Source organism: Homo sapiens, chromosome 17 (genome assembly GCF_000001405.40).
Source record: "Homo sapiens chromosome 17, GRCh38.p14 Primary Assembly".
Taxonomy (NCBI): Eukaryota; Metazoa; Chordata; class Mammalia; order Primates; family Hominidae; genus Homo; species Homo sapiens.
In genome coordinates, this window is record NC_000017.11 from 41953997 (window position 1) to 41977769 (window position 23773).

General features: G+C 53.1%; 3 protein-coding genes across 14 annotated transcripts in view, besides 13 other annotated features; 2 read left to right on the plus strand and 1 right to left on the minus strand.

Annotated features, from left to right (window-relative positions):
• The window catches only part of ODAD4 (outer dynein arm docking complex subunit 4), a 35887-nt gene extending 23380 nt beyond the window's left edge, over positions 1-12507 (plus strand). For 4 of the 5 annotated variants that reach the window (NR_146622.2, NR_146621.2, NR_110662.3 and 1 more), the window contains 3 exons: positions 1221-1321; positions 7386-7470; positions 10997-12507. Coding sequence is in view for 2 of the 5 variants with exons in the window: in NM_031421.5 (NP_113609.1) it covers positions 1221-1321; positions 7386-7470; positions 10997-11487 (677 nt within the window). In the remaining 3 variants the exon portion in view is untranslated. The remainder of the gene's footprint in view (positions 1-1220; positions 1322-7385; positions 7471-10996) is intronic. The other variant, NM_001350319.2, reaches the window with a different exon arrangement.
• Positions 4943-5550: an enhancer, noted in NCBI's record as "H3K27ac-H3K4me1 hESC enhancer chr17:40110957-40111564 (GRCh37/hg19 assembly coordinates)". NCBI's record gives its function as "activates a minimal SCP1, AML or CMV promoter by ChIP-STARR-seq in naive H9 embryonic stem cells {active_cell/tissue: H9 hESC(naive)}" and the evidence as "EXISTENCE:reporter gene assay evidence [ECO:0000049][PMID:30033119]".
• Positions 5551-6156: an enhancer, noted in NCBI's record as "H3K27ac-H3K4me1 hESC enhancer chr17:40111565-40112170 (GRCh37/hg19 assembly coordinates)". NCBI's record gives its function as "activates a minimal SCP1, AML or CMV promoter by ChIP-STARR-seq in naive and primed H9 embryonic stem cells {active_cell/tissue: H9 hESC(naive and primed)}" and the evidence as "EXISTENCE:reporter gene assay evidence [ECO:0000049][PMID:30033119]".
• Positions 6157-6762: an enhancer, noted in NCBI's record as "H3K27ac-H3K4me1 hESC enhancer chr17:40112171-40112776 (GRCh37/hg19 assembly coordinates)". NCBI's record gives its function as "activates a minimal SCP1, AML or CMV promoter by ChIP-STARR-seq in primed H9 embryonic stem cells {active_cell/tissue: H9 hESC(primed)}" and the evidence as "EXISTENCE:reporter gene assay evidence [ECO:0000049][PMID:30033119]".
• Positions 6763-7368: an enhancer, noted in NCBI's record as "H3K27ac-H3K4me1 hESC enhancer chr17:40112777-40113382 (GRCh37/hg19 assembly coordinates)". NCBI's record gives its function as "activates a minimal SCP1, AML or CMV promoter by ChIP-STARR-seq in naive and primed H9 embryonic stem cells {active_cell/tissue: H9 hESC(naive and primed)}" and the evidence as "EXISTENCE:reporter gene assay evidence [ECO:0000049][PMID:30033119]".
• Positions 9090-9239: a silencer, noted in NCBI's record as "silent region_8506". NCBI's record gives its function as "represses an Ori minimal core promoter by ATAC-STARR-seq in GM12878 lymphoblastoid cells {active_cell/tissue: GM12878}" and the evidence as "EXISTENCE:reporter gene assay evidence [ECO:0000049][PMID:35858748]".
• Positions 12072-12171: an enhancer, noted in NCBI's record as "active region_12177". NCBI's record gives its function as "activates an Ori minimal core promoter by ATAC-STARR-seq in GM12878 lymphoblastoid cells {active_cell/tissue: GM12878}" and the evidence as "EXISTENCE:reporter gene assay evidence [ECO:0000049][PMID:35858748]".
• Positions 12542-12981: a silencer, noted in NCBI's record as "silent region_8507". NCBI's record gives its function as "represses an Ori minimal core promoter by ATAC-STARR-seq in GM12878 lymphoblastoid cells {active_cell/tissue: GM12878}" and the evidence as "EXISTENCE:reporter gene assay evidence [ECO:0000049][PMID:35858748]".
• Positions 12799-23744, plus strand: CNP (2'',3''-cyclic nucleotide 3'' phosphodiesterase). Of its 3 annotated transcripts, none has more exons than NM_033133.5 (4): positions 12799-12891; positions 14072-14744; positions 17896-18035; positions 19479-23744. In NM_033133.5, exons 1-4 carry the CDS (start codon positions 12889-12891, stop codon positions 19926-19928), a joined length of 1266 nt encoding a protein of 421 aa, NP_149124.3. In that variant the 5' UTR covers positions 12799-12888; the 3' UTR covers positions 19929-23744. The 3 variants fall into 3 exon arrangements, with proteins under 3 accessions (NP_149124.3, XP_011522642.1, NP_001317145.1); XM_011524340.3 differs by lacking the exon at positions 12799-12891 and adding an exon at positions 12936-13017; NM_001330216.2 differs by lacking the exon at positions 12799-12891 and adding an exon at positions 13801-13957.
• Positions 13112-13301: a silencer, noted in NCBI's record as "silent region_8508". NCBI's record gives its function as "represses an Ori minimal core promoter by ATAC-STARR-seq in GM12878 lymphoblastoid cells {active_cell/tissue: GM12878}" and the evidence as "EXISTENCE:reporter gene assay evidence [ECO:0000049][PMID:35858748]".
• Positions 13273-13830: an enhancer, noted in NCBI's record as "H3K27ac-H3K4me1 hESC enhancer chr17:40119287-40119844 (GRCh37/hg19 assembly coordinates)". NCBI's record gives its function as "activates a minimal SCP1, AML or CMV promoter by ChIP-STARR-seq in primed H9 embryonic stem cells {active_cell/tissue: H9 hESC(primed)}" and the evidence as "EXISTENCE:reporter gene assay evidence [ECO:0000049][PMID:30033119]".
• Positions 13831-14388: an enhancer, noted in NCBI's record as "H3K4me1 hESC enhancer chr17:40119845-40120402 (GRCh37/hg19 assembly coordinates)". NCBI's record gives its function as "activates a minimal SCP1, AML or CMV promoter by ChIP-STARR-seq in primed H9 embryonic stem cells {active_cell/tissue: H9 hESC(primed)}" and the evidence as "EXISTENCE:reporter gene assay evidence [ECO:0000049][PMID:30033119]".
• Positions 14389-14946: an enhancer, noted in NCBI's record as "H3K4me1 hESC enhancer chr17:40120403-40120960 (GRCh37/hg19 assembly coordinates)". NCBI's record gives its function as "activates a minimal SCP1, AML or CMV promoter by ChIP-STARR-seq in naive H9 embryonic stem cells {active_cell/tissue: H9 hESC(naive)}" and the evidence as "EXISTENCE:reporter gene assay evidence [ECO:0000049][PMID:30033119]".
• Positions 19177-19296: an enhancer, noted in NCBI's record as "active region_12178". NCBI's record gives its function as "activates an Ori minimal core promoter by ATAC-STARR-seq in GM12878 lymphoblastoid cells {active_cell/tissue: GM12878}" and the evidence as "EXISTENCE:reporter gene assay evidence [ECO:0000049][PMID:35858748]".
• The window catches only part of DNAJC7 (DnaJ heat shock protein family (Hsp40) member C7), a 41005-nt gene continuing 39670 nt past the window's right edge, over positions 22439-23773 (minus strand). For all 6 annotated transcript variants that reach the window (NR_029431.2, NM_003315.4, XM_011525167.4 and 3 more), the window contains 2 exons: positions 23265-23327; positions 22439-22774 (listed from right to left, as the gene is read on the minus strand). Coding sequence is in view for 5 of the 6 variants with exons in the window: in NM_003315.4 (NP_003306.3) it covers positions 22737-22774; positions 23265-23327 (101 nt within the window). In the remaining variant the exon portion in view is untranslated. The remainder of the gene's footprint in view (positions 22775-23264; positions 23328-23773) is intronic.
• Positions 22848-22927: an enhancer, noted in NCBI's record as "active region_12179". NCBI's record gives its function as "activates an Ori minimal core promoter by ATAC-STARR-seq in GM12878 lymphoblastoid cells {active_cell/tissue: GM12878}" and the evidence as "EXISTENCE:reporter gene assay evidence [ECO:0000049][PMID:35858748]".

Consider the following 23773-nt stretch of genomic DNA (forward strand, 5'->3'; position numbering starts at 1 on the left):
AATTTTTTTGAGACAGTCTTGCTCTGTCACACAGGCTGGAGTGCAGTGGCGCGATCTCGGCTCACTGCAACCTCTGCCTCTGAGGTTCAAGCAATTCTTCTGCCTCAGCCTCCCGAGTAGCTGGGTTTACAGTCGCCCGTCACCATGCCTGGCTAATTTTTGTATTTTTAGTAGAGATGGGGATGTCACCATGTTGGCCAGGGTGGTCTCGAACTCCTGACCTCAAGCAATCCGCCCACCTTGGCCTCCCAAAGTGCTGGGATTACAGACGTGAGCCACCACGCCCGGCCTGACATATGTATTTAATTTTTTAAAATGAAATGAAGCTCTGAGGGCTCAAATCAATCACTCAATCAATCTGCTAATCATTTCAGTCCCAGCTCCAGCACTAATTGGCACGGAGAGCCCAGATGAGCCGCTTTTTCTACGGGTTCAGATTGTACCTGAGTGGGGCCTGGACTCGAGACAGCTGAGGTTCCAGCAGCTGGCCCATGGATTGCATCCAGCCCTCTGTGCTTTGGTCTGCATATCATTTTTGAAAAAAATGAATGACCATTTAAAAAATATGAATTTCTGGCCGAGCGGTGGCTCACACCTGTAATCCCAGCACTTTGGGAGGCCGAGGCAGGTGGATCACCTGAGGTCAGGGTTTAAGACCAGCCTGACCAACATGACGAAACCCCATCTCTACTTAAAAAACAAAATTAGCCAGGTGTGGTGTCATGTGCCTGTAATCCCAGCTTCTCAGGAGGCTGAGGCAGGAGAATCGCTTGAACCTGGGAGGCAGAGGTTGCAGTGAGCCGAGATTGCCCCATTGCACTCCAGCCTGGGCAACAAGAGTGAAACTCTGTCTCAAAAAAAAAAAAAAAAAAATTCGTCTTCCAGAACAATCTAAAGATGGAGCAGGATGCGGTTTTCTCCTCCACTCTGGAGACATATGATGTATGCACTAGACTGCACCACAGTCCCCTTCTCTCACCAACGCCTTTGAATGAGGCCCAGGTTCCTCAGTCCTGGTTCTCGATGGTGACATAGCCCAGGAACACGGTGGAAAGGATGGTGCTGAGCAGCTCAGTGATGCTTCCCTGGGGCCTGGGTCCGACTACAGCTCACACAAGCTTCTGATGGGCCCTGGCAGTGCTCGAGTAGCCAGAGGCTCCATCATGCACCACACGTTGTCACACTCTACCTGTGTTGTGCCTTCTCCCCTTGCTCTCCAGTGAAGCTGAGAGACTTCGAGTCAGCCGTGAACAATTTTGAGAAGGCCCTGGAGAGAGCAAAGCTTGTGCATAACAACGAGGCGCAGCAGGCCATCATCAGTGTGAGCCTTTCCACCCGCCGGGCTTCGGGTGTCAGGAGTGGGGTTGGGTGGTCAGGCCTTCAGTTCCCCCTCAGCCTGCTTGGGCGCCATTCCACAGCCGTTTTTTTGTTTGTTTGTTTATTTGTTTTGAGACAGAGTCTTGCTCTGTTGCCCAGGCTGGAGTGCAATGGCGTGATCTCGGCTCACTGCAAGCTCCGCTTCCGGGTTCACACCATTCTCCTGCCTCAGCCTCCCAAGTAGCTAGGACTACAGGCGCCCCCCACCACGTCTGGCTAATTTTTTGTATTTTTAGTAGAGACAGGGTTTCACTGTTAGCCAGGATGGTCTCGATCTCCTGACTTTGTGATCCGCCCGCCTTGGCCTCTCAAAATGCTGGGATTACAGGCGTGAGCCACTGTGCCCAGCCAGAAACAAAAATTTTACAAAATATATTTACCTCTGCTACGTACTCTGCATGCTGATATTTCCTATTACATTCTGTTTTCTTATTTTTATTTATTTATTTATTTATTGAGACAGGGTCTCACTCCCGTTGGCCAGGTCAGAATGCAGTGGCACTGTTATGGCTCATTGCAGCCTCGACCTCCTGGGCTCAAGTTATCCTCCTGCCTCATTTTAAAATTTTTTTGTAGAGATGAGGTCTCACTATGTCTTGAACTCCTGAGCTCAGGCAATCCACCCTCCTCAGCCTCCCAATGTGCTGGGATTACACGTGTAAACTGTACTTAGCTTTTTTTTTTTTTTTTTTTGAGACTGAGTCTCACTTGTCACCCAGGCTGGAGTGCAATGGTGTGATCTTGGCTCACTGCAACCTCCGCCTCCCGGGTTCAAACGATTCACCTGCCTCAGCCTCCCGAGTAGCTGGGATCACAGGCGCCCCCCCACCACGCCCAGCTAATTTTTGTATTTTTAGTAGAGATGGGGTTTCACCATGTTGGCCAGGCTGGTTTGGAACTCCTGACCTCAAATGATCTGTCTGCCTCGGCCTCCCAAAGTGCTGGGATTATAGGTGTGAGCCACTGTGCCTGGCCATAATTTTTGTATTTTTAATAGAGATGGGATTTAGCCATGTTGGCCAGGCTGGTCTCGAACTCCTGACCTTAGGTGATCTGCCCGCCTCGGCCTTCCAAAGTGATGGTATTACTGGTATGAGCCACCATGCCCGGCCTTTTTTTTTTTTTTTTTTTTTAAATAGAGATGGGGCCATGTATGGTGGGACCTAGCCTGGGACCCAACGTGTTGCTGGGACTCGGCAACATGGCGAAACCCTATCTCTAAAAAATAAAAAAAATTAGCCGGGTGTGGTGACTCACTCCAGCCACTTGGAAGGCTGAGGTGGGAGGACCACTTAAGCCTGAGAAGTTGAGGCTGTAACAAGGAGTGATCTCACCCCTGCACTCCAGCCTGGGTGACAGAGCGAGACCCTGTCTCTAAATAAATAAATAAGTAGAGACGGAGTCTCAGTATGTTGGCCAGGCTAGTCTCAAACTCTTTGCCTCAAATGATTCTCCTGCCTTGACCTGCCAAAGTGCTGGGATTACAGGCATGGGCCACTGTGCCTAGCCTTATTTTCTTATTTTCTTTTTGCTTTTTATGTATTTATTTTTAGACAGAGTGTCTCTCTGTCACACAGACTTAGTACAGTGGTGAGATCATAGCTTACTGTAGGCTTGACCTCCTGGGCTCAGGCAATCCTCACACCTTAGCCTCCCATCTAGATGGGACTACAGATGCATGTCACCATGCTGGGGGCTAATTTTTTATTTTTTGTAGACTCAGGGTCTTACTCTGTTACCCAGGCTGGTATCAAACTCCTGGACTCAAGTGATCCTCCTGCCTCGGGCTTCCAAAGTGCTGGGACTGAGCCACTGTACCCAGCCCTCATTTTCTCTTATCAGCAGTCCCCAAGCTTTTTGGCACCAGGCTCCAGTTTTGCAGAAGACAGTTTTTCCATGGACCGGTGGTGGGGGAAATGGTTTCGGGATGAAACTGTTCCACCTCAGATCATCAGACATTAGATTCTCATGAGGAGCATGCAACATAGATCCCTCACGTGCCGTTCACAATCGGGTTCTCCCTCCTATGAGAATCTAATGCCGCCACTGATCTGACAGCCTAATGCTCACTTGCCGACCCTCCGCTTACCTCCTGCTGTGTGGCCCGGTTCCTAACAGGCCATGGACCAGTCAGTGGCCCAGGGTCTAAATTGACGTTAGGACTTGCAGTTTGAAAAATACCACCTCCAGGAGACAAGAAATCTAGTGTGATTTCCTCATTCTCTTGCCTAAACCTTTTATTACTTCCTGGCTGTCTCTGTTCCTGACTTTTTCCCACAGGGGTAGGAAGGCACTGGGTAAGCTCTCCCCTGTGGGCCTCTCCAGCTTCCTGCTGGTCAGTCCCCAGCCCCCATCACCTTGCATTCCAGCTCCAGCCAATACCAGCTTCCTGTCTTCCTAAACAGGCTTTCTTTTTTCTTTTCTTTTTTTGAGACAAGGTCTTGCTCTGTCACCCAGGCTACAGTGCAGTGGTGTGACTACAGCTCACTGCAGCCTTGATCTCTGGGCTCAAGAGATAAGTATCTGGGACTACAGGTGTGGGCCACCATGCCTGGCTGATATTTTTAATTTTTATTTTTTGTAGAGATGAGGTCTCACTATATTGCCCAGGCTGGGCACTTGAGAGCTCCTGCACTCAAGCGATCCTCCTGTCTCAGCCTTTTAAAGTGTTGGGATTACAGGTGTGAGCCACCACACCCGGCCTAAACAGGTTTCTTATGCCTCATAACATATGCTGTTATCTCTGCCTGGAATATTCTAAACCTTCCCTTCCCACCTCCTTCACCTGGCTAACTCCCACTCAACCTTTAGGTTTCAGCTTAGATGTCCCCTCTTTGAGGCGGCCTTCTCTGACCCCTCAGTCTGGGTGAGGAGCCCTCACATCAGGTTTCACAGCCTTGATATGTCCCCCATCAAAGTCCACGTTGTGCACTTGTAATTGCCTAGACTTCCATTGCTTAAGGAGGCAGCTGCTAGCCACGTGAGGCTAAAGTTAATTAAAACTAGGCTGGGTGTGGTGGCTCATGCCTGTAATCCCAGCACTTTAGGAGGCCGAGATGGATGGATCACCTGAGGTCAGGAGTTTGAGACCAGCCTGGCCAACATGGTGAAACCCCATCTCTATTAAAAATACAAACAATTAGCCGGGTATGGTGGCACACACCTGTAGTCCCAGCTACTTGGGAGGCTGAGGCAGGAGAATCGCTTGAACCCGGGAGGTGGAGGTTGCATGAGCCAAGATCATGCCATTGCACTCCAGCCTAGGCAACAGAGCGAAACTCCATCTCAAAAAAAAAAAAAAAAAAGTAAATAAAATGTAAAATTCTCAGTCACACTAGCCACATTTCAAGTCATTATAGCCACATGTGAGGCCGGGTGCGGTGGCTCACACCTGTAATCCGAACACTTTGGGAGGCCGAGGCGGGTGGATCACGAGGTCAGGAGATTGAGACCATCCTGGCCAACATTGTCTCTACTAAAAATACAAAAAATTAGCCAGGTGTGATGGCACACTCCTGTAGTCCCAGCTACTCGGGAGGCTGAAGCAGGAGAATTGCTTGAACCTGAGAGATGGAGGTTGCAGTGAGCCAAGATCACGCCACTGCACTCCAGCCTGGGCGACAGAGCGAGACTCCGTCTCAAAAAAAAAAAAAAAGCTACATGTGGCCTATGGGTGCTACATAATACAGATCTAGAATATTCCCATTGTCACAGAAATTTCTGTTGAATAGTGCTGGCCTAGACTGTGTCAGGAGGCAGAGACCAGGGGAGAAACTTGGAGGTGCTCTGGGCTCCCCCACCCCACCCACTCCCAGTGCATCCAGGTGGACGCACAAGCTTAGTAAAGTCTGCACACCAACTTCACAGGTGCACACTCACCCAGGCCTCTTCCTCCTGCTTCTGACCAGACAGCTTCCTTAAGCCCTTCCCACAGCCAAATTCCAGAGCACCACTGGCACGCAGCTGGACCCCAGGAAGTATCTGCTGGAGTGAAGTAAACGGGGCCCCTGTCCTTGGGGAGCTTATGCCATCATTGAAAGAAGCCAGATTGCATAACTTGTGGGCAGCAAAGGGGCATGGCCTCAGGGACCAGCCTGGGGTCTGCAGGCACTGGGCAAAGAGAGCAGGGACCCTGAGAAGTGAAGGCTCAGGACACTCCCAGTGGGAGGAAGACCTCATGCTGTGCTCTGAAGGACAAGGATAGCAGAGCTGGCCAGGCCGAGGAGGGGCAAGTGCACTGAAGACGTGGGAGGTCGGCGCTGAGGGCTGGTGGCCGGCAGAAGAGAGATCCTGGCCTGGGTCCCAGAGCTGGGGGGTTCCCGGTGGCGGGGGATGGTGGTGACAGAGCCCCAGACAGTCAGCACACCAGCCTGGACTTGAAGGGCTGTGGACAGCAGAGAAGTGATCTGATCACCTCTGTTTTTTGGGAGGCAGGTTCATGGTGAGCTGTTTGTGAGGACTGTGGTAAGGCTAACACTGCCCTCTCATGGCGGAGAAATCATACCCAAAAGACCCCAGCAGGCGCAGTCTATCCTCTGCCACCATACGGCCCAGGGAAGCCCAGGCCTAGCATGTTGTCGTCCTCGTCATAAATGCCATGTCCCCAGCTCTGGCTTCCAGGCGAAGAGCACCCACCTCACTGCAGCCCTGCCAGATGTACCATGCGCCACATACTTCCATGTGATCGCCCTGCAGACAGACAGCATGGCCGTTCAGTTCAGGAAATATTCGCCGAGTGTAGATTGGCTCCAGGCTGCCAAGCTCAAATGTGTGCGGCCATTGTCCTAGCCCACAAGAAGATTACAACGAAAGGCCAGACACAGTGGCTCACACCTGTCATCCCAGCACTTTGGGAGGCTGAGGGCAGGAGGATCACTTGGGTCCAAGAGTTCTAGACCAGCCTGGGCATCATAGCAAGACCCTGTCTCTTAAAAAGAAAAAACAAACAAACAAAAAAACAGTTACTCAGGAGGCTGAGGCAGGAGAATGGCGTGAACCCAGGAGGCGGAGCTTGCAGTGAGCTGAGATCGTGCCACTGCACTCCAGCATGCATGATAGAGCGAGACTCTGTCTCAAAAAAAAAAACAAACAAACAAACAAAAAACAAAGCACAAACCCTGGTTCATGACCAGTGCCATAGGGGACTAGGGGAATTCAGAGTGAGAGAGCCCCAGCTGGGAGGCAGAGCTGGAGGCTTTCCAACAAGGAGGATCTGAGGTCACCTTGAAGGCTAGGCAGTAGTTTGAAGGGTTAGGGGCAGAGAGAAGGTACCTGTGACCCTCACTGACTCCTCATGGGACCAGGCCCCCGACCCCTCACCCTCCTGGATTGGCAACTCCAGGTAGGAAGGCTCACAGTGGGAGGGAGGTGGGGGGTGGGCAGACCAACACCACAAGAGAGTGCATCCAGGCCCCGGAGCTGCTCAGTAGACACTACCATGTGTAGCTGGTGTTCTGTCAGTGCCAGCCACGGGCCTGCTATGAGCAAGAAGGCAAGACCTGCCCTCCAGAGGCTCACAGGGGCTCCAGGCCCCTGTGGATCATGCACTCGAGTTGGGGAAACTGCAGACATTCTGGAAGGCCCTTCTGAAGGCAGGCCAGCCCCCAGCCTGTCCCCTTGGTGTGTTTCTGGGTCTTTTCAGTGCTGCCTTGCTGAGTGCTTGCAGGTTTGGATTGTCTTTTTGCATTGACTGAAGCCAAAAGCAGCTTTAGGTAGTTCATCTAAAGGTAGAAATGAGTAGATAGACACAACTCCCAATACATGCCTAAGCCAAAGAGAAATGCATTTGACTGACTCGCAGTCATGTATCTCCCAGACACAATTTGTGTGGATCATTCTGAGTCAGTAAGTGTAGATTAACCTGAGGGTAGGGGTCATTGGAGGGGCCAGAGGGAAACCAAGGGTGGCAGGTTCCCACCAGAGCCCTGCCTTCTGGGATTGATCTGGGTGGGGAAAATTAATGGTGTAGGTGCCAAACACAGGGGCTAAGCTCCCTCTACCATCCACAGGCCTTGGACGATGCCAACAAGGGTATCATCAGAGAACTGAGGAAAACCAACTACGTGGAGAATCTCAAAGAAAAAAGCGAGGGAGGTGAGTTCCTGAAACTCTGAAAAGGCAACTTCAGCATTCTCCCTCTGCTTTCTTTTCCTCTAGTCCGAGACACATGCGACAGCAGCTCCCCAATCTGGGGGCTTGGCACTGCCCATCGTGCATTCTAATTTCAGTGCCACCAGCAGCCCTAGCCTATCTCTGGGGCAGTAGAGGGTGAGGATTCAGCCCACCATGGGCTGGACTGTCTGGCCCCAGAGCGCACTCATTTCTCTCTTCAATTGATTCATCAAGTATATGGTGAGCACTTGTCATGTACCTGGAAGGTGTTAGATTCTGGGGAGAGAGGCCCATCCCTGCCCTGGAGGAGCCCATGGCCCTTTGGGCAAGGCTGACCAGTGGAGTTGTCAGCTGCTGGGATCCTGCACACAGGTGCTACACCGAGGTGGAGGTGTGCTGCCATGAGGGTGCATGCAACGGGGCGTGGGCTCCTCTGGGGAGGCAGAGGAGGCTTCGACGAGGAAAAATCTTCTACCTCCAACTCCAAAAGATGCCCAGGAGTTTTCCAGGAGAGAAGTGGGAGAAGAAAGGCATTTTTCCAGCAGGGAACAGCAGGGCCAGAGGCACAGAGACAGAATAACAGTAGCTACACTTTGGGGGCTCTTACTGTGTGCTAGGCACTGGGTTAAGCACCAGACAGGAGTGATCTTGTTGGGTCTTTACCCCACTAGGAGGTGTAGGTGCTGTGGGGGGAAAGGGAGGCTGAGTGAGGTGAGTGCTCTGCCAGAGTCATGTAGCTAGGGAGGGGTGACTCGGGGCCCCACTCTCCCCACCTGCGGCGCTGCTCTCGGGCCAGCAGTGTGATGGGCAGGTGCAGAGGGGCATAAGGTGCAGAGGCTGCCTGACAGCTGTGCCTTACCACATTCTTTCTCACAAGGTCTCCAGGGAGTAAACAGGCCTTTGGCCCCCTGCCTTTGGGCTCTCCTTTCCTGCAGGGAGGGAGTGAGGGAAGGAGAAGCAGAAGATGGCTGAGCAGCCCTACCCCACTGGAGAGGGGCCTAGAGGAACAGGGGTGTTAAGCGCAGTAGCCGACCCCCATTCATGCTTCCCGCAGGCCAGGCATTCTTTCAAAGACTGTGTGCACGGACTCATCCTATCTGTATCTGTTCAGGAACACTATGAAGGAAGTGTTATTAGCTTGACTTTATGGAGGACATGGAGGCAGAGGGGTTAGAGGCTACAGTGGTTTTCAGTCTTGGGCAGTCTGCTCTAGAACCCACGCGTCGGCCCGTGCCACACTGTTTCTAGTGACACAGACAGCCTTTTCCTGCCCCAGTCTGTGGAGCTCTCACTCCAGCCAGACTGCAGTGAACAGAGCTGGGGCTGGAGGTCCGGGAGGACAGAGCCCAATGCAGATTCTTGGCTGCAGCCCTCCAGGCTGCAAGGCTGAAATCCTTTCTGGTCCAGGCAGGGCAGCGGGAGGTTTCTGGGCACCTGAGCAGCCAGATGACAGCCCTTTATTATCCAGCACCTGCTCTGTGGTGGCTGGACCCCCTCAGAGGGGCTCTGTCTCCGCCCCCACATGCCCTTTGAGCTGCTCTGAGAAGCCACAGGAGCAACAGCTGTGGAGAGAGACTCTGCGGGGAAGCAGCCAACACCCCAGTCTCCCTACCCTGGCCTGCGTCCTTGTGCCTGGAGAACTGCCGGGCACGTCCCTCTCAGAACAGCAGGTGGCAGCATTGCATCTGTTTTCACCACCAAAGGGCTGTGACCCCCTGAGACCTGAGACCCTCTGCAGATACCTCAGTAACTAGTGGTTTCCAGGAGGAGAATGTAAGGGAGACGCAGAAGGGGATGTAACTTTTCTCCATAACTGATAAAAAAAAAAATTTAGGAGCAAGGATCCCTTTGCTTGTAAAATAACTCTTCAGCTGAACTTTTTGTTAGCAGCGTATATCTTTATAGGAAACCTATCTTTTTCCTTATGTTTTTTCTATATTTTCATAGGAAACCTCCCAACAAATAATGAATGTGCTTCCCAGGGACAAAGAGAAAGTGTCAGAATGAAGATGCTGGAGAAAATCCTTCTGTCATTTTCCAGCACCTATGCTATTTCTTGCAGGGAAAAGAGGTGTTCTGGGGTCAGACTGTCCTGGGTTCAAATTCTGTCTCACTTGCACACTTGCAGTGTGACCATTGTGTGATTTCTTTTCTTTCTTTTTTTTTTTTTTTGAAACGGAGTCTTGTTCTGTCATCCAGGCTGGAATGCAGTGGTGCAATCTCAGCTCACTGCAACCTCCATCTCAGCCTCCCAAAGTGCTGGGATTACAGGCATGAGCCACTGTGCCTTTTTTTTTTTGAAATGGAGTCTCCCCTCTGTTACCCAGTCTGGAGTGCAGTGGCGCGATCTCAGCTCACTGCAACCTCCATCTCAGCCTCCCAAAGTGCTGGGATTACAGGCATGAGCCACTGTGCCTTTTTTTTTTTTTGAAATGGAGTCTCCCCTCTGTTACCCAGTCTGGAGTGCAGTGGCGCGATCTCGGCTCACTACAACCTCCGCCTCCTAGGTTCAAGTGATTCTCCTGCCTCAGCCTCCTGAGTAGCTGGGACTACAGTCTTGTGCCACCACTCCCGGTTAATTTTTTTTTTTTTTGAGATGGAGTTTTGCTCTTGTTGCCCAGGCTGGAGTACAATGGCACAATCTTGGCTCACTGCAACCTCCGCCTCCTGGGTTCAAGCGATTCTCCTGCCTCAGCCTCCCAAGTAGCTGGGATTACAGGCGCCTGCCACCATGCCCAGCTTATTTTTGTATTTTTAGTAGAGACGGGGTTTCACCTTGTTGGCCAGGCTGGTCTCAAACTCCTGACCTCAGGTGATCCACCTGCCTCGGCCTCCCAAAGTGCTGGGATTACAGGCGTGAGCCATGCCGCCCGGCCGTGTGATTTCTTTTCTATCGATCTCAGGTCCCTTGACTGCAAACTCAAATCAACGGCAGTGCGCATTTTCATGATGTCTGGATGGGATAAGCTATACAGCCCTCACGTGATGCACAGGACGGAGCTGGGCTCAGTCAATGATGGTTCCCTTTCTCTGCTTTTGGAAAGGTGTGCTGTCAACACCAATTTAAAGAGCTGGCAAAAACAGTCATTCTCAGGGCCTTTCTCTCATCGGCCTCTCAAAAGCACAGGCCTCCACAGAGATGAACAGTTTCTTTCTTTTTTTTCTTCTTTCTTTTTTGGAGACGGGTCTTGCTCTGTCACCCAGGCTGCAGTGCAGTGGCTGGATTTTGGCTCATCACAGCCCCAACCTCCTGGGCTCAAGCGATTCTTCTGCCTCAGCCTCCGGGTAGCTGGGACTACAGGCGCCAACCACCACGCCTGGCTAATTTTTGTATTTTTAGTACAGACAGGGTCTCACTGTGTCGCCCAGGCTGGTCTGGAACTCCTGGCCTCAAGGGATCTGCCTGCCTCAGCCTCCCAAAGTGCTGAGATTACAGGCGTGAGCCACCGCACCCGGCCTGACATGAACAAACTTTTATCTTTCTTCCCGCTTTTCTCTTATTTTTCAGAAGCTTCACTGTATGAAGATAGAATAATAACAAGAGAGAAGGACATGAGGAGAGTGAGAGATGAGCCCGAGAAGGTGGTGAAGCAGTGGGACCATAGTGAGGATGAGAAAGAGACAGATGAGGACGATGAGGCTTTTGGGGAAGCTCTGCAGAGCCCAGCAAGCGGAAAGCAGAGTGTGGAAGCAGGAAAAGCCAGAAGCGATTTGGGAGCAGTTGCCAAGGGCCTGTCAGGAGAATTAGGCACAAGATCAGGAGAAACAGGCAGGAAGCTACTAGAAGCTGGCAGAAGAGAGTCAAGAGAAATTTATAGGAGGCCTTCGGGAGAATTAGAGCAAAGACTCTCAGGAGAATTCAGCAGACAGGAACCAGAAGAACTAAAGAAACTTTCAGAAGTGGGCAGAAGAGAGCCAGAAGAACTGGGAAAAACACAATTTGGAGAAATAGGAGAAACGAAAAAAACAGGAAATGAGATGGAAAAGGAATATGAATGAAGCCATCGGTAGAGATGAGGATCAGGAAGCTGGTGTTCAGAGGGATCATGGGATTTTATTAAACTGGATTTTCAAGCGATTTGTCTGTTATAGGAAAAATGAGGGTTTTACTTCTGCTGCTTTCCATCACTATTTTGCCATTAAATAGGTGTCTTTCACTCTTGCAAACCCTGAGTCTGTCACTTTGCCTCTTCACCCCTGCCCATTCTTGGAAGAGCATCGTGGAAGAAATGAGAAAGGTGCCAAGAAGAAAGGGTTTCAGGAGGGTGAAGATACGGGCGCTACAGGGAACAAGAAGTCACAGGGAGGAGAGGGGAAGGCCTGGGAGGAGAGGTGCTTCCCACACACCGGTGACTGACTGAGTCCCTCCAGTGCGCAGGACAGCGGGGAGGCTTTATGGATGGAACAGTGGTGGGGCGGCCCCAGCTGTCACAGGTAGGAGAATGCCGCAAGCCAGAACCAAGCGAATGCTGGGAGTGAGGCCAAAGATAGGGGAGTGGCCTGGGAGTCGGGAGGGCAGACAGACTCCGCCTCTGACACCTCTGGGTGGCATAATCAGGTAAATCAGGCTCTCCAAGCTGGCTTCTCCTCTGAACAATGGGATACCTGCCTCAGGGGTTGCTGCGAGGACTGAGTGCTTAGCACAGCACTTGGACAGGAAACTCAAAAATCCAACGGAGCTCTCAGTGGTTTCACAGAGGAGGTGGCAGCTGAGGATCTGGCCTCAGAGGATGTTAGGATTTCACTCCGTTACTCATCTGTCCCTTTGGCCATTGCCATCCTGGTCTGTCTCCACAGCTCCTAGAAGGAAAGGTCGGGGCTGAGACTGACTTTCGGCTGGCACAGGGCCTGGACGAATGAGGCCAGTGAGGCATTTCAGATGCAGAGTTTACCGGAATGCCAGCAAATTGCATGATAATATTTTAATCCAATGTGGTAAAAAAAAAAGTTTTTAATTAATGCAAAAGTCCATGATGAATAAAATATCAAAAATTAAAGACAGGATCCGACTTTGCACGACCCTGCCTCACTCACTTCCTGCTAATCCACGGGACCGGGGAGGGTGACTGAGTTACCCCTCAACACGCAGAAAAAGCTAGTGGCCGCTCAGCTCGCAGGCGCAGTGGGTGGGTGCGCGTGGGGAGCAGGCGCGCGCAGGGGGCGGGACCGGGCCGAGGTTCCCGCGCGCGGCGAGAGTTTCGGGTTTTGGTTCGCAGCGCCTGCGCGCAGAGGAGACGGCCCGCCCCCAGCCCGCCCGGGTGCCCGCTCCGCCCCCCGGGCTATGTAAAGCGGCCGGGCTCGGGTCGTGCCACCGCTGGACTCCCGTGTCCCTCCGCGCAGGCGGGCGGCCCCGGAGCGCTGGTGCCGGCAGAGGCGGCGACGGTGGCGCCCCTCCTCATCATGGTGAGAGGCCGGGCGGGGCCGGGCACGGGGTAGCACCAGGGCGGGAAACGAGTGTCGGGGCCCCTCGGGAGGAAGCGTCTTGCAAACGAGGACCCGGGGCTCCGGGTTCGACTTCCAGTTTTCTTGGTACTCAGGGCGGCCCTGAGGTCTGGGAGAAGCGGAGGGGTTTTGGGGTGCCGGAGAGGCCGCTGTAAAGGGAAACGGTGGTGTTTCTCAGGAGGGAACTCGGGACCGCAGAAGCTGCTGCGCCTCTGGGAGCCTGGGTGGGCCTGGGCCGGGAGCCCGGGAGCTGCTCCCGACCCCACGCAGGCCCGCGCTGGGGCAGCCGCTTCGGCGCCCCCTCCCCGGGCCCAGTCTCATCACGCGGAACCGCTGCCCCGCGCCCGGGTGCGGGCGGGAGGTGGAGCCAGTTCAGAGGAGGGGACCCTTTACGGTAAAAGCTGCCGTCCCTTGTGGCTTCTAGAAGATAGGAAAACAAGTGGCTCCGAGAGGCGCTTCTGACACACAGCACAGCGGCGGGTAGAGCTGGATCCTAATTGCAGGTGCCCTGTGCTGCCCTGTTCTGGACAGGCACAAAGACCACGACTTTGTGGGGGCCGGGAGAGGGTAGAGGAGGAGGTGGCAGGCTTGGTGAAAGAGGGCCTTTGTCCAGTGCTCTCCTGCCCTGCCCCCCACCAGCCCTTCTGTGGGACCATTGTACCCGCATGCCAGACAAGAGAGTATTATCTGTTGCGGCCATTGTTGGGGGAAGGGAGGCAGTCTTGGGGTAACCCTTCTCCACTCCCCCCCTTCTCTGTGCACTCAGCCGTGGCAGCTGTGGCTTGGCCCAGACACAGAGACCCCCACCTCCAAAGAGGACGTCCTTAGTAGGTGCCAAGCATATAAGAGTGAGGCCAGTCCCAGAACCGCAGGCTCCTGGCGCGCCCCGCATGCCTCCAGCACGTTTACCTTTCCGAAGTGGCAGGAATGGGGAAAGCGCACGCTTAGGAGAGCTTCAGACAAGCTTCCCTCTTCCTCCTCCACGACCAGAAGCGGAAAGGTGCTCCCGGACCGAAAGGGAAAGAAGGTCCAGCACTGCCCCGCTTGGGAAGGCACCCACAACCAGTCTAGGGACTAGGGGTAAGGCCGGCGGGGAGCCCGCGAATGACCTGGGCTGACATCTCTTCCCCTCCTTACACAGAACAGAGGCTTCTCCCGAAAAAGCCACACATTCCTGCCCAAGATCTTCTTCCGCAAGATGTCATCCTCAGGGGCCAAGGACAAGCCTGAGCTGCAGTTTCCCTTCCTTCAGGATGAGGACACAGTGGCCACGCTGCTAGAGTGCAAGACGCTCTTCATCTTGCGCGGCCTGCCAGGAAGCGGCAAGTCCACGCTGGCACGGGTCATCGTGGACAAGTACCGTGATGGCACCAAGATGGTGTCGGCTGACGCTTACAAGATCACCCCCGGCGCTCGAGGAGCCTTCTCCGAGGAGTACAAGCGGCTCGATGAGGACCTGGCTGCCTACTGCCGCCGCCGGGACATCAGAATTCTTGTGCTTGATGACACCAACCACGAACGGGAACGGCTGGAGCAGCTCTTTGAAATGGCCGACCAGTACCAGTACCAGGTGGTGCTGGTGGAGCCCAAGACGGCGTGGCGGCTGGACTGTGCCCAGCTCAAGGAGAAGAACCAGTGGCAGCTGTCGGCTGATGACCTGAAGAAGCTGAAGCCTGGGCTGGAGAAGGACTTCCTGCCGCTCTACTTCGGCTGGTTCCTGACCAAGAAGAGCTCTGAGACCCTCCGCAAAGCCGGCCAGGTCTTCCTGGAAGAGCTGGGGAACCACAAGGCCTTCAAGAAGGAGCTGCGACAATGTAGGTGGCAGGTTGGGGCCTTATAAGCCCACCTTGCTGGGCACAGGGTGCTGCGGGCAAAGGACCATCATTGTACTCAAAGGATGGAGCACGAAGCAGCAGGAGGCAGAGAGAGGCTCACCTCAGCGGGGGCAGGGGCAAGCGGTGCGTCCCAGTGGTAGCCTTGGGGAGTTGGCAGCACATTGGGAACACGGGGGCTTCCCAGAGCGCCTTTCCTCCCACCACACCTATCCTTCTAGCCCTCTTCTCTCCGACACCCTTTTCCCAGCCTGAATGTAGACCACTGTCCCTTGTCTTGGAGGTGGGAAAAACAAATTACTGTAGTAACAGGAAACATGTCCTCTTCTAATGTAACCTTAGAGGGGGAATCAAGCCCAGTGTTTTCCAACGCATTTTTAGCAGCAGAATCATGTTCCAAAAAATAATAATAATAATCACATGAAATTGTAAGCTGCAAAAAAATTAAAACTAGGACTATTGTGGCTTCACTGGGGATGGTTCTCAGGCCTCGGACTGCTCAATTTACTCATGGGTTTGTGGCATCTGCAGCTCCAGAGGACACAAGTCTCACACTTAGGCCAAAACCCGTTTTCAGATGGAAAAACATGGACCCAGGAGGGATGTGGGGTTTACGGGCTGGAACCCTGGACTCTGGCCACTCTAGCAGGGTTCTCTCTTGGCATGGGCTTTTTGCTCCAATGATAGGTTTGAGATAAAGAAGGGTCCTGGTGGCTCTCCTGGAGTGACCTGTTGGAGAAGTGCCACCCACTAATCCATCTATATGCCTTTAGGCCATTTCTGGTTGCCTCCAATTTTATTTATTTATTTATTGTGACACGGAGTCTCCCTCTGTTGCCCAGGCTGGAGTGCAGTGGCGCTATCTCAGCTCAGTGCAACCTCTGCCTCCCAGATTCAAGCAATTCTCCTGCCTCAGCCTCTCGAGTAGCTAGGACTACAGGTGTGCACCACCACGTCCAGCTAATTTTTGTATTTTTAGTAGAGACGGAGTTTCACAATGTTGGCCAGGCTGGTATTGAACTCCTGACCTCAGGTGATCCGCTTGCCTTGGCCTCCCAAAGTGCTGGGATTACAGGCGTGAGCCACCACCGCACCCAGCCACCCCCAATTTTAGATGATCTTCATGCCTGAAATAGCCCCACTCTGGTTTGTTGACATTGTGTATATTGCACAGAAGCAGGGAATTTGTGCCTGTATGGGTTCTCAGAGAGCTTTTTTCTCAGCTCCTAAACTTGAACTCTGCAGTGAACTGTGGTGCTTGCAGTGACATTGGCCAGGAGCAAGCCCTGTACCTGTGAGCTGGTGGCTCTGCCCTGGAGTGACTACTGCTCAAAGTTGCTTTTAATATTTATTTATGAGACGGAGTCTTGCTCTGTTGCCCAGGCTGGAGTGCAGTGGCATGATCTCGGCTCACTGCAACCTCCGCCTCCTGGGTTCAAGCCAATTCTCTGCCTCAGCTTCCCAAGTAGCTGGGAATACAGGCGCCTGCCACCATGCCCGGCTAATTTTTTTTTATTTTTGTATTTTTAGTAGAGACAGGGTTTCACCATCTTGACCAGGCTGGTCGGTAGCACAAAAGAAAGGAGGGGCCCTTGGCCCAAGATGGGACGAATCAAGCTTGACAGGATGATTGCCAGATCTTTTTTTTTTTTTTTTTTGAGACGGGGGTCTTGCTCTGTCGCCCAGGCTGGAGTGCAGTGGGGCAATTCGGCTTACTGCAACCTCCATCTCCCGGGTTCAAGCAATTCTCCTGCCTCAGCCACCCAAGTAGCTGGGATTACAGGCACCCGCCACCATACCTGGCTAATTTATAAATTTTTAGTAGAGACAGGGTTTCACCATGTTGGCCAGGCTGGTCTCAAACGCCCCGCCTCAATTTCCCAAATTGCCGGGATTACAGGTGCGAGCCACTATGCCCAGCCTATTTTATTTGTAAAGGAAAACTGGATTTTTCTGCCCAGGATTAGAGCAGGAGAAATGTAATGGGCCAGCAAGGCTGCTCTCAGGAGAGGCCTTCCTCCCCTGTGGAGGGCGAGACATCCTCATGGGGACTCAATTCAGAACATAACAGGAAAAAGCGAGTGACTCCAAAGACAGCCACAGGTGTGGAGTCTGGAAATCAAAATCACAGATACTCCACTCCTCTTTGTGTCTTCCAGCCCCATAATGTCACCCCATTATAGTCCAAGACCCTTCCTGTACCAGGAGGCCCCCCCATAGGCCTGCAAGGTGTGTATTAAACTGATGGTGACGTTGTGACTGCTTGTCCAGATGGGCCCCTGAGTGAAATGGGGCACTACTGATAGTTCCCTGGTGGTCCTGGGAACACTGGGGTATATGGTCACCCTAACTGTTGTGCTGGATTGATAGATAGGGTTGGTCACTTGCCCGAGGCCGATGGCTGGTACATGGCAGAGCTGAGATATTCACTGTGTTCTGGCTGTTTCCACCGTACCATGTTGTTCCCAGCCCTCTGTTTTCTTTCCACCCCACTTCCCATGACTTGCTTCCCCTTTGAGACGTGGTGCTAGTAAATCTTAGATTCCCTTGGCCTGTACTGCCTGCCTCTGTTACAAATGCCTTAGAGTTTGGAGAAGAGATGGAAAGATCTATACAATGTAAAGCCAGAGAATTTTAACTTTTTTTTTTTTTTTTTTGGAGACGGAGTCTTGCTCTGTTGCCTAGGCTGGAGTGCAGTGGCACTATCTCGGCTCGCTGTATCCTCTGCCTCCTGGGTTCAAGCAATTCTCTACCTCAGCCTCCCAAGTAGCTGGGATTACAGGCGCCCGCCACCACGCCTGGCTAATTTCTTTGTATTTTTAGTAGAGACGGGGTTTCACCATCTTGGCCAGGCTGGTCTTGAATTCCTGACCTTGTGATCCACCCACCTCGGCCTCCCAGAGTGCTGGGATTACAGGTGTGAACCACCGCACCTGGCCTGAGAATTTTAACTTTTTATTGCTCTAAAGTTGCCATTAGTTTGACCAACTAACCAATGAATGAGCTGTAGTGGGTTGCTGGAGAGGTGATGCTTAGTGTCCGAGTGTTTTGCGCTGGGCCTCGGTGGTCCTGGTGGCGGATGTTGGTATGCCCCTGCTCCCCTGCCCTGACTGCACCCGTTTTCTCCCGGCAGTCGTCCCTGGGGATGAGCCCAGGGAGAAGATGGACTTGGTCACCTACTTTGGAAAGAGACCCCCAGGCGTGCTGCATTGCACAACCAAGTTTTGTGACTACGGGAAGGCTCCCGGGGCAGAGGAGTACGCTCAACAAGATGTGAGTCTTCCCCAGGGACACATGGGGGAGGTGGGAGGTTGGGGGAGAAGGGGCTGCAGCATCTTCTGAAGATAGGTACCGGTGCCAGGCAGGGACCAAAAACCAGATGGCAGCTCAAGAAAAATGGCATCTCCTCCTCCTAGCTCCCCTGTCCCCAGGCGTAGCTGCATAGACCTCAGCCGCAGGTTCTAAGGAGCCTGCCCTGGCAGTACTGCCAGCCTGTGCATTCACCTGCCCCCAAGCACCTTCGCCTTCTGCAGATTCATGGAGAATGCTGGTCCACAGTGGGCTCCTGCTCTGGTCTCTCTGAGCCTGTTTTACCTTCCAAAGACTAGGAGTCCTTCGCCCCCAGGGAGCCTGGTGCACTGAGGTCCCCATCCCTGTCCCCAGGTCTGAGGTCTGGCCTGGCCCCAGAGTGAGGGAGTTTCATACGATAATGAAGCTTATTGGCTAATGGGTACGAGACCTTTCTGCACCACACAGCTGGCACCTTACACCCACAGCCACTGACAGTGATCCCTGAATGCCAGGCATGTCACCCATATCCACAGTCTCCAACTTCCAAGTGTCCACCCCCAAGCCCACTCTCCCACTTCTCTGCCTAGGTTAGCACAATCGTTTGTTTGTTCACTAGAGTGTCCTCCCAAATGGAAGCTCCCCTGAGGGCGAGTTTTTAAGTTTCGTTGACTCCTGTGGTTCCAGCACCCTAGCATAGTGGAATGAATATGTAACACCTGAGCTACCATCCCTAACCATGCCTTCATTTAGCATTTATTAACTACCCATTTCATGCCAGACACTGTTGGGACAAGGGATCGTGAGCAAAAATAGAAAAGCGTTTATGCTGAGATGGGATGGGCTGTCTCAAAGAATCAGATAGAAGCAGACATATCATCAGATGGGAACCAAAGTGTAAGAGCAGGTTTCCATCAAGGGCGAGTCTGACCTCAGTCTGACCTCACCCTGTCCTCCAGGGCGCTGTCTGGGTCCCAGGGGAAGCTGAGCGGTGCCAACAGTAGCAGCTGTTGTGTGCGCGGACACCCCTGTGGGCTGTTTACCTAGTCACTCTCATAACCACATTAACTCTGAGGTAGGCTCTGGTTCTCCCTGTTTTACGGGTGATGAAGCCAAGGCACCGAGAGGTCAGCCAGCCCGCTGAGGCCGGAAGCCAGTGTGCAGGGAGCTGGGCTCCCTCAGGAAGTCCGGCTGTCCCCGTGTGGCCCTGTCTGAGCGCCTTCGTGTTTCTCACTTGAGCCTGGAGCGCCTATGGAAGGTGCGTGCCGCAGTTGTTAGTGGATGCTGGGCCTATACCGACCCCTGCTCAGCTGTGCTCACTTCTGTTAGACTTCCCCTTCTCTCCTCCAGGAGGGACCCTCCCTGGGTCAGCTGTTCCTCAAGAGCCTGCCATCTCTAGCTTGGGCCCCTCTTTCTCACTCTCCCCAGGTGTTAAAGAAATCTTACTCCAAGGCCTTCACGCTGACCATCTCTGCCCTCTTTGTGACACCCAAGACGACTGGGGCCCGGGTGGAGTTAAGCGAGCAGCAACTGCAGTTGTGGCCGAGTGATGTGGACAAGCTGTCACCCACTGACAACCTGCCGCGGGGGAGCCGCGCCCACATCACCCTCGGCTGTGCAGCTGACGTAGAGGCCGTGCAGACGGGCCTTGACCTCTTAGAGATTCTGCGGCAGGAGAAGGGGGGCAGCCGAGGCGAGGAGGTGGGCGAGCTAAGCCGGGGCAAGCTCTATTCCTTGGGCAATGGGCGCTGGATGCTGACCCTGGCCAAGAACATGGAGGTCAGGGCCATCTTCACGGGGTACTACGGGAAAGGCAAACCTGTGCCCACGCAAGGTAGCCGGAAGGGGGGCGCCTTGCAGTCCTGCACCATCATATGAGTGTTCTCACCACCACTTATGCCCCTAGAAGGGAAGGGGAGAGGGAAACGTGCCCTCTGTTTGATCCTTGTTTTGTGACATTTTTTTTTTTTTTTTTTTTACTCAAAGTTAACCTACCTGTAACTTTTTAAAAACTTGTAAAATAACTGACCCTCCCTTCCTGTCCGCCCTCTTCCCCTCTAATGCTCACGCTCCCAACACAAGGTGGGCAGGGAGGCACCATTCAGGAACCTGGACCAAAGCTGACGAGGCTGGGCCAAGCCAGGGATGGGGCCACAGCCAGAACCCCGAGCCCTACTTCCAGGTTCTGGTTAGCTCAGCCCCAGCCCAGCCCAGCTGCTCTGCCCAGAGCTGGGTGAGTGGGGAGACACCTCAGAGCCCCGCAAAACCCACTGACCGGAGGCAAAAGGCAGTGGGGCTGGGGGTAGTTTTCCATGGTCACAGAGAACTAGTGGTGGCTCTGAGAAGGGGAGGACCTCTGGGCTTTGATTCCATCTCCTTGTCTTTTTTCTTTGTTTTTAGAGACAGGGTCCTGCTATTTCCCAAGCTGGAGTGCAGTGGTGCGATCATGGCTCACTGCAGCCTCGAACTCCTGGGCTCAAGCAATCCTCCTGAGTGATCCCATTTCTTAATCAGTGTAGCCCCAAGAAGGCTGGGGCTATTTACCAGGGTAGAAAAAGGAGCTTACCTCCCACCTTTGGTCCTAAGTCCCTGCCCCCTCCCCTTCACACCATAACTAGGTAACAGTTTGATAACTAGGGAAGAAAGCAGAACAGTTAAGCAGCCGCCACATCCCCGCTGGCTGGGGGCCTCACTCCAGGAAGGGGCTGGACTGGCTGTCCTTTCCAGTGGCCTGGCTCCGCTGTGTGGATGGGGAGATCGGGGCCAGAGGCAGAACCCTGGTGAGGAAGCTCCAGTCCTGCTCTCTACCCAGCCCATCTTGCCTCCATGGTGCCTCTGGAGGCCTCTGGGCCTCCTCTAACAGGGGCTGGTGGGCACCAAGAGCCAATGGAGTAGACCCCTGGCTGGTAAGGGCCAAGTCCCACCGGTTGCTTCTGGGAAGGGGTTTCTAACACTAGTCTGTGTGCTGTGGTTCCTGGGGTGCCCTCCACTGCCCTCTGTTCAGTAACAGGGCCTTGCTAATCGGGTTGTCACTCAACAAAAGTGCTTTGGATTTAAGTTACTATCCTGGCTTTGCCCAACCTCAGCAACCTGTAAGACTGATAATGAAATAAATCATGTTAATCCTAGCTGTGTGCAGTCTCTCTTACCCTTCTGTGCCCAGCTCAGTCTTCCCTAGGGCTGGGTGTATTAGGACTGGCTTTGTCCCACAGCTTGGGGCCATCGGTCCTGTCTCCCCTCTGCTGGCCGGGCACAGCTGTGGTGAGGTTGGGCAGCTGAACAGTGTTGGCTTTCATGAGGAGGCAGAAAGCAGAGGCTGGCCTCAGACTCATACAGAAGGTGGGGGTTGGCTGGGTACGAGGGATGTGGAGCACAAAAGCCTCTCATCCCCCATTAACCAGGGCACCAAGCCCACAGGTGTCCCCAGCCCACTGGATCAGAAAGAGTTCAGTAAGACCGGAAGCTCCTGGTATGGGTTTCTCCCAGTTCTCTAGGGAAGGCCACCTGCAGGTCACTGAAACTTCAAGCACCAGGGAAGATCTAACATTTGAGTCCCTTCCAGGCCATCAGAGGCCTAGTCAGCCACATGGGAAACTTCCAAGACCTGACTCAGGCATCATTCCACCATGGCTAAGGCACCAGCCGGGGAAGACTTGAAAGAAAGGGGCAGGAGCTCAGATGAAGAGAAATCCTAAGTTACCTTTCTAGGTCAAGGCCTGTCCCTGGCCATCTCTGAACTTCAGCTAGAGCTTCAAGTCTGTGCCTGGAGCTCCTGGGAAGGCTACTCACCTTGAACACCACGCTTGACAGGACAGCATGGTGCATGCCGCTGCATCCGTGAGCAGTGTGTCTCCTGCATGCAGAAAGGGAGCAGAGAAGGCCAGGGGCTTTTGCTAAAAATAGTGGCCAGACCAGAGCTCTGGAGCCACCTGTCCCACCTCAAATGGGTCTGGGGGTCAGGAGGCAGGGTTTTATCTCTGTCTACCATCTCCCTCGAACCCACACTGCAACAGGAACTGTGAGAGTCTTTGTAAGTAAACTGCCCTGTCTAGGTCAGTACCCACCTGAGCTTTGGACGCACACAGCTTTTAGTACCCACCTGAGCTTTGGACACACACAGCTTCTAGTGATTTCTGGGGCCCCACCGTAAAGTGAGCATGCTTTCTGAACTCGCTTCTCTGTGACTGATGTTAGGCTGGGCCCAGAGGCACAGCCGGGGCCTGCCTAGCACTCACATGCTGGACAGGTCTGGGAGAGGCAGAGTGCCCCACCTGCCACTAGGCTGGGTGCCCACAGCCCGCATGCAGCAGCTTGCTGCACCCCAAGTCCAGGTCGGGCTCAGCTCTGGCTCACAGACTGGAGACAATGCAGATGCCAGAGCAAAGGGCCAGGAAGGGTCAAAACATTTTATTCTCTTTTTTTTTTCTTTTTTAATAAAGTTAAACAGTAAAACAAAAATTCACAAGCTGCCTCCCTGTCCACCCCCGCCTCCCTCCCCTGCCCTCGGTCTTCGGCATTGGTTCCCTTTGCTCCACCCCACTCACAGAGACACAGGGCATCCAACTGAGAAAACGAAACTGCTCTAAGCACACGGAGACGTGATGAAGGGAGGAGGTGAACTGTTTCCACATTCAAGATTAAACTGAGTGAATCTGCATTTTCTGGGTTCTGGGTGGTTGCCCTTCATTAGCCAAATTGAAAAAAGAAATTCCCTGGACCAGATGCTGAAAGAGAAAAGAGGGGTTGGTAGTTGGCTATGGATTTTCTAAGGAAGATCACTTTGCTCTGATTATGGAAAAGTCTTCAAGGGCTGCTTCAAACTCAAACACAGAGAGAAACTCTATGGGTATCAAACAGCTCAGGCTGTTTTTGGGTGCAAGAGGGAGCACGTGACTGTATTATACATGGGTAGCTTCTGACCTCAGCATTATCTATATAGTACCTTTGCTCTTGCAGAGAAGCCTTGGTACTAGGCAGTTAGAGATGCCTCCCTGACCCTGCAGAGATGCGGTGGCTAAAGGTCCCAAGGCAAGGGGTGCCTGGGAACCTTCCTGTCTTCATCCTTAGCAACAGCCGAGTGGATAGATGCCCTGCTAGATGAGAATTCAGCTGCCCCCGCTCATGGGCCCCTCTGACTCCCAAAGAGCTGCCTAAGAGGCAATGAGTGTGTTGGCTTGTGATCTGGGAACTCCCAAGAACAGCAGGCCCACCTACCTTCAAAGCTGAAGCCGCCAGGACCGCCAAAGAATGCCTTGAAGATATTGTTTGGATCAAAATCTGTAGAGCAGGGCAAGTAACATGGAAGGGAAGAAAAGGTGAAAAATTAGAAATGTTCGAAGAGAACTGATGACACTGAGAACAGATCTCCAAAGCTTTCCTGGAGAGTCTCACTCCCCTCCTTTCCCAACACTTCAGACTGCAAGTGAGCAAACCTGCCCCATCCCGTGCAAAACATGCTACCTGATCCCACTCCTAGGACATGTTCCCTTCTCCTTCCAACTGCTGCCCCAAAGGAAGCTTTCTCTGCTTCAGCTTGCTTCATTGGGCTGTTTTCTCAACAAATGGAATGCCATTTGCACTTACACAAGACTTTCCCCATACTCTGTCTCCCTATAATGCTGGAGCGGCTACTAAAAAGGATAAAATGTATCACTTAAATGTTACCAAAAATAAATATAAGAGCAAGATCTAGGATTTACTGTATTTGATTCCATGTCTTTTAC

What these genes read in the sequence shown, in the direction of transcription:
- CNP (NM_033133.5), top strand. An exon ending in CAAGAAGGAGCTGCGACAAT is followed by an intron (nt 14,745 to 17,895) that starts GTAGGTGGCAGG and finishes TTCTCCCGGCAG; the next exon opens with TCGTCCCTGGGGATGAGCCC. An exon ending in AGGAGTACGCTCAACAAGAT is followed by an intron (nt 18,036 to 19,478) that starts GTGAGTCTTCCC and finishes CACTCTCCCCAG; the next exon opens with GTGTTAAAGAAATCTTACTC.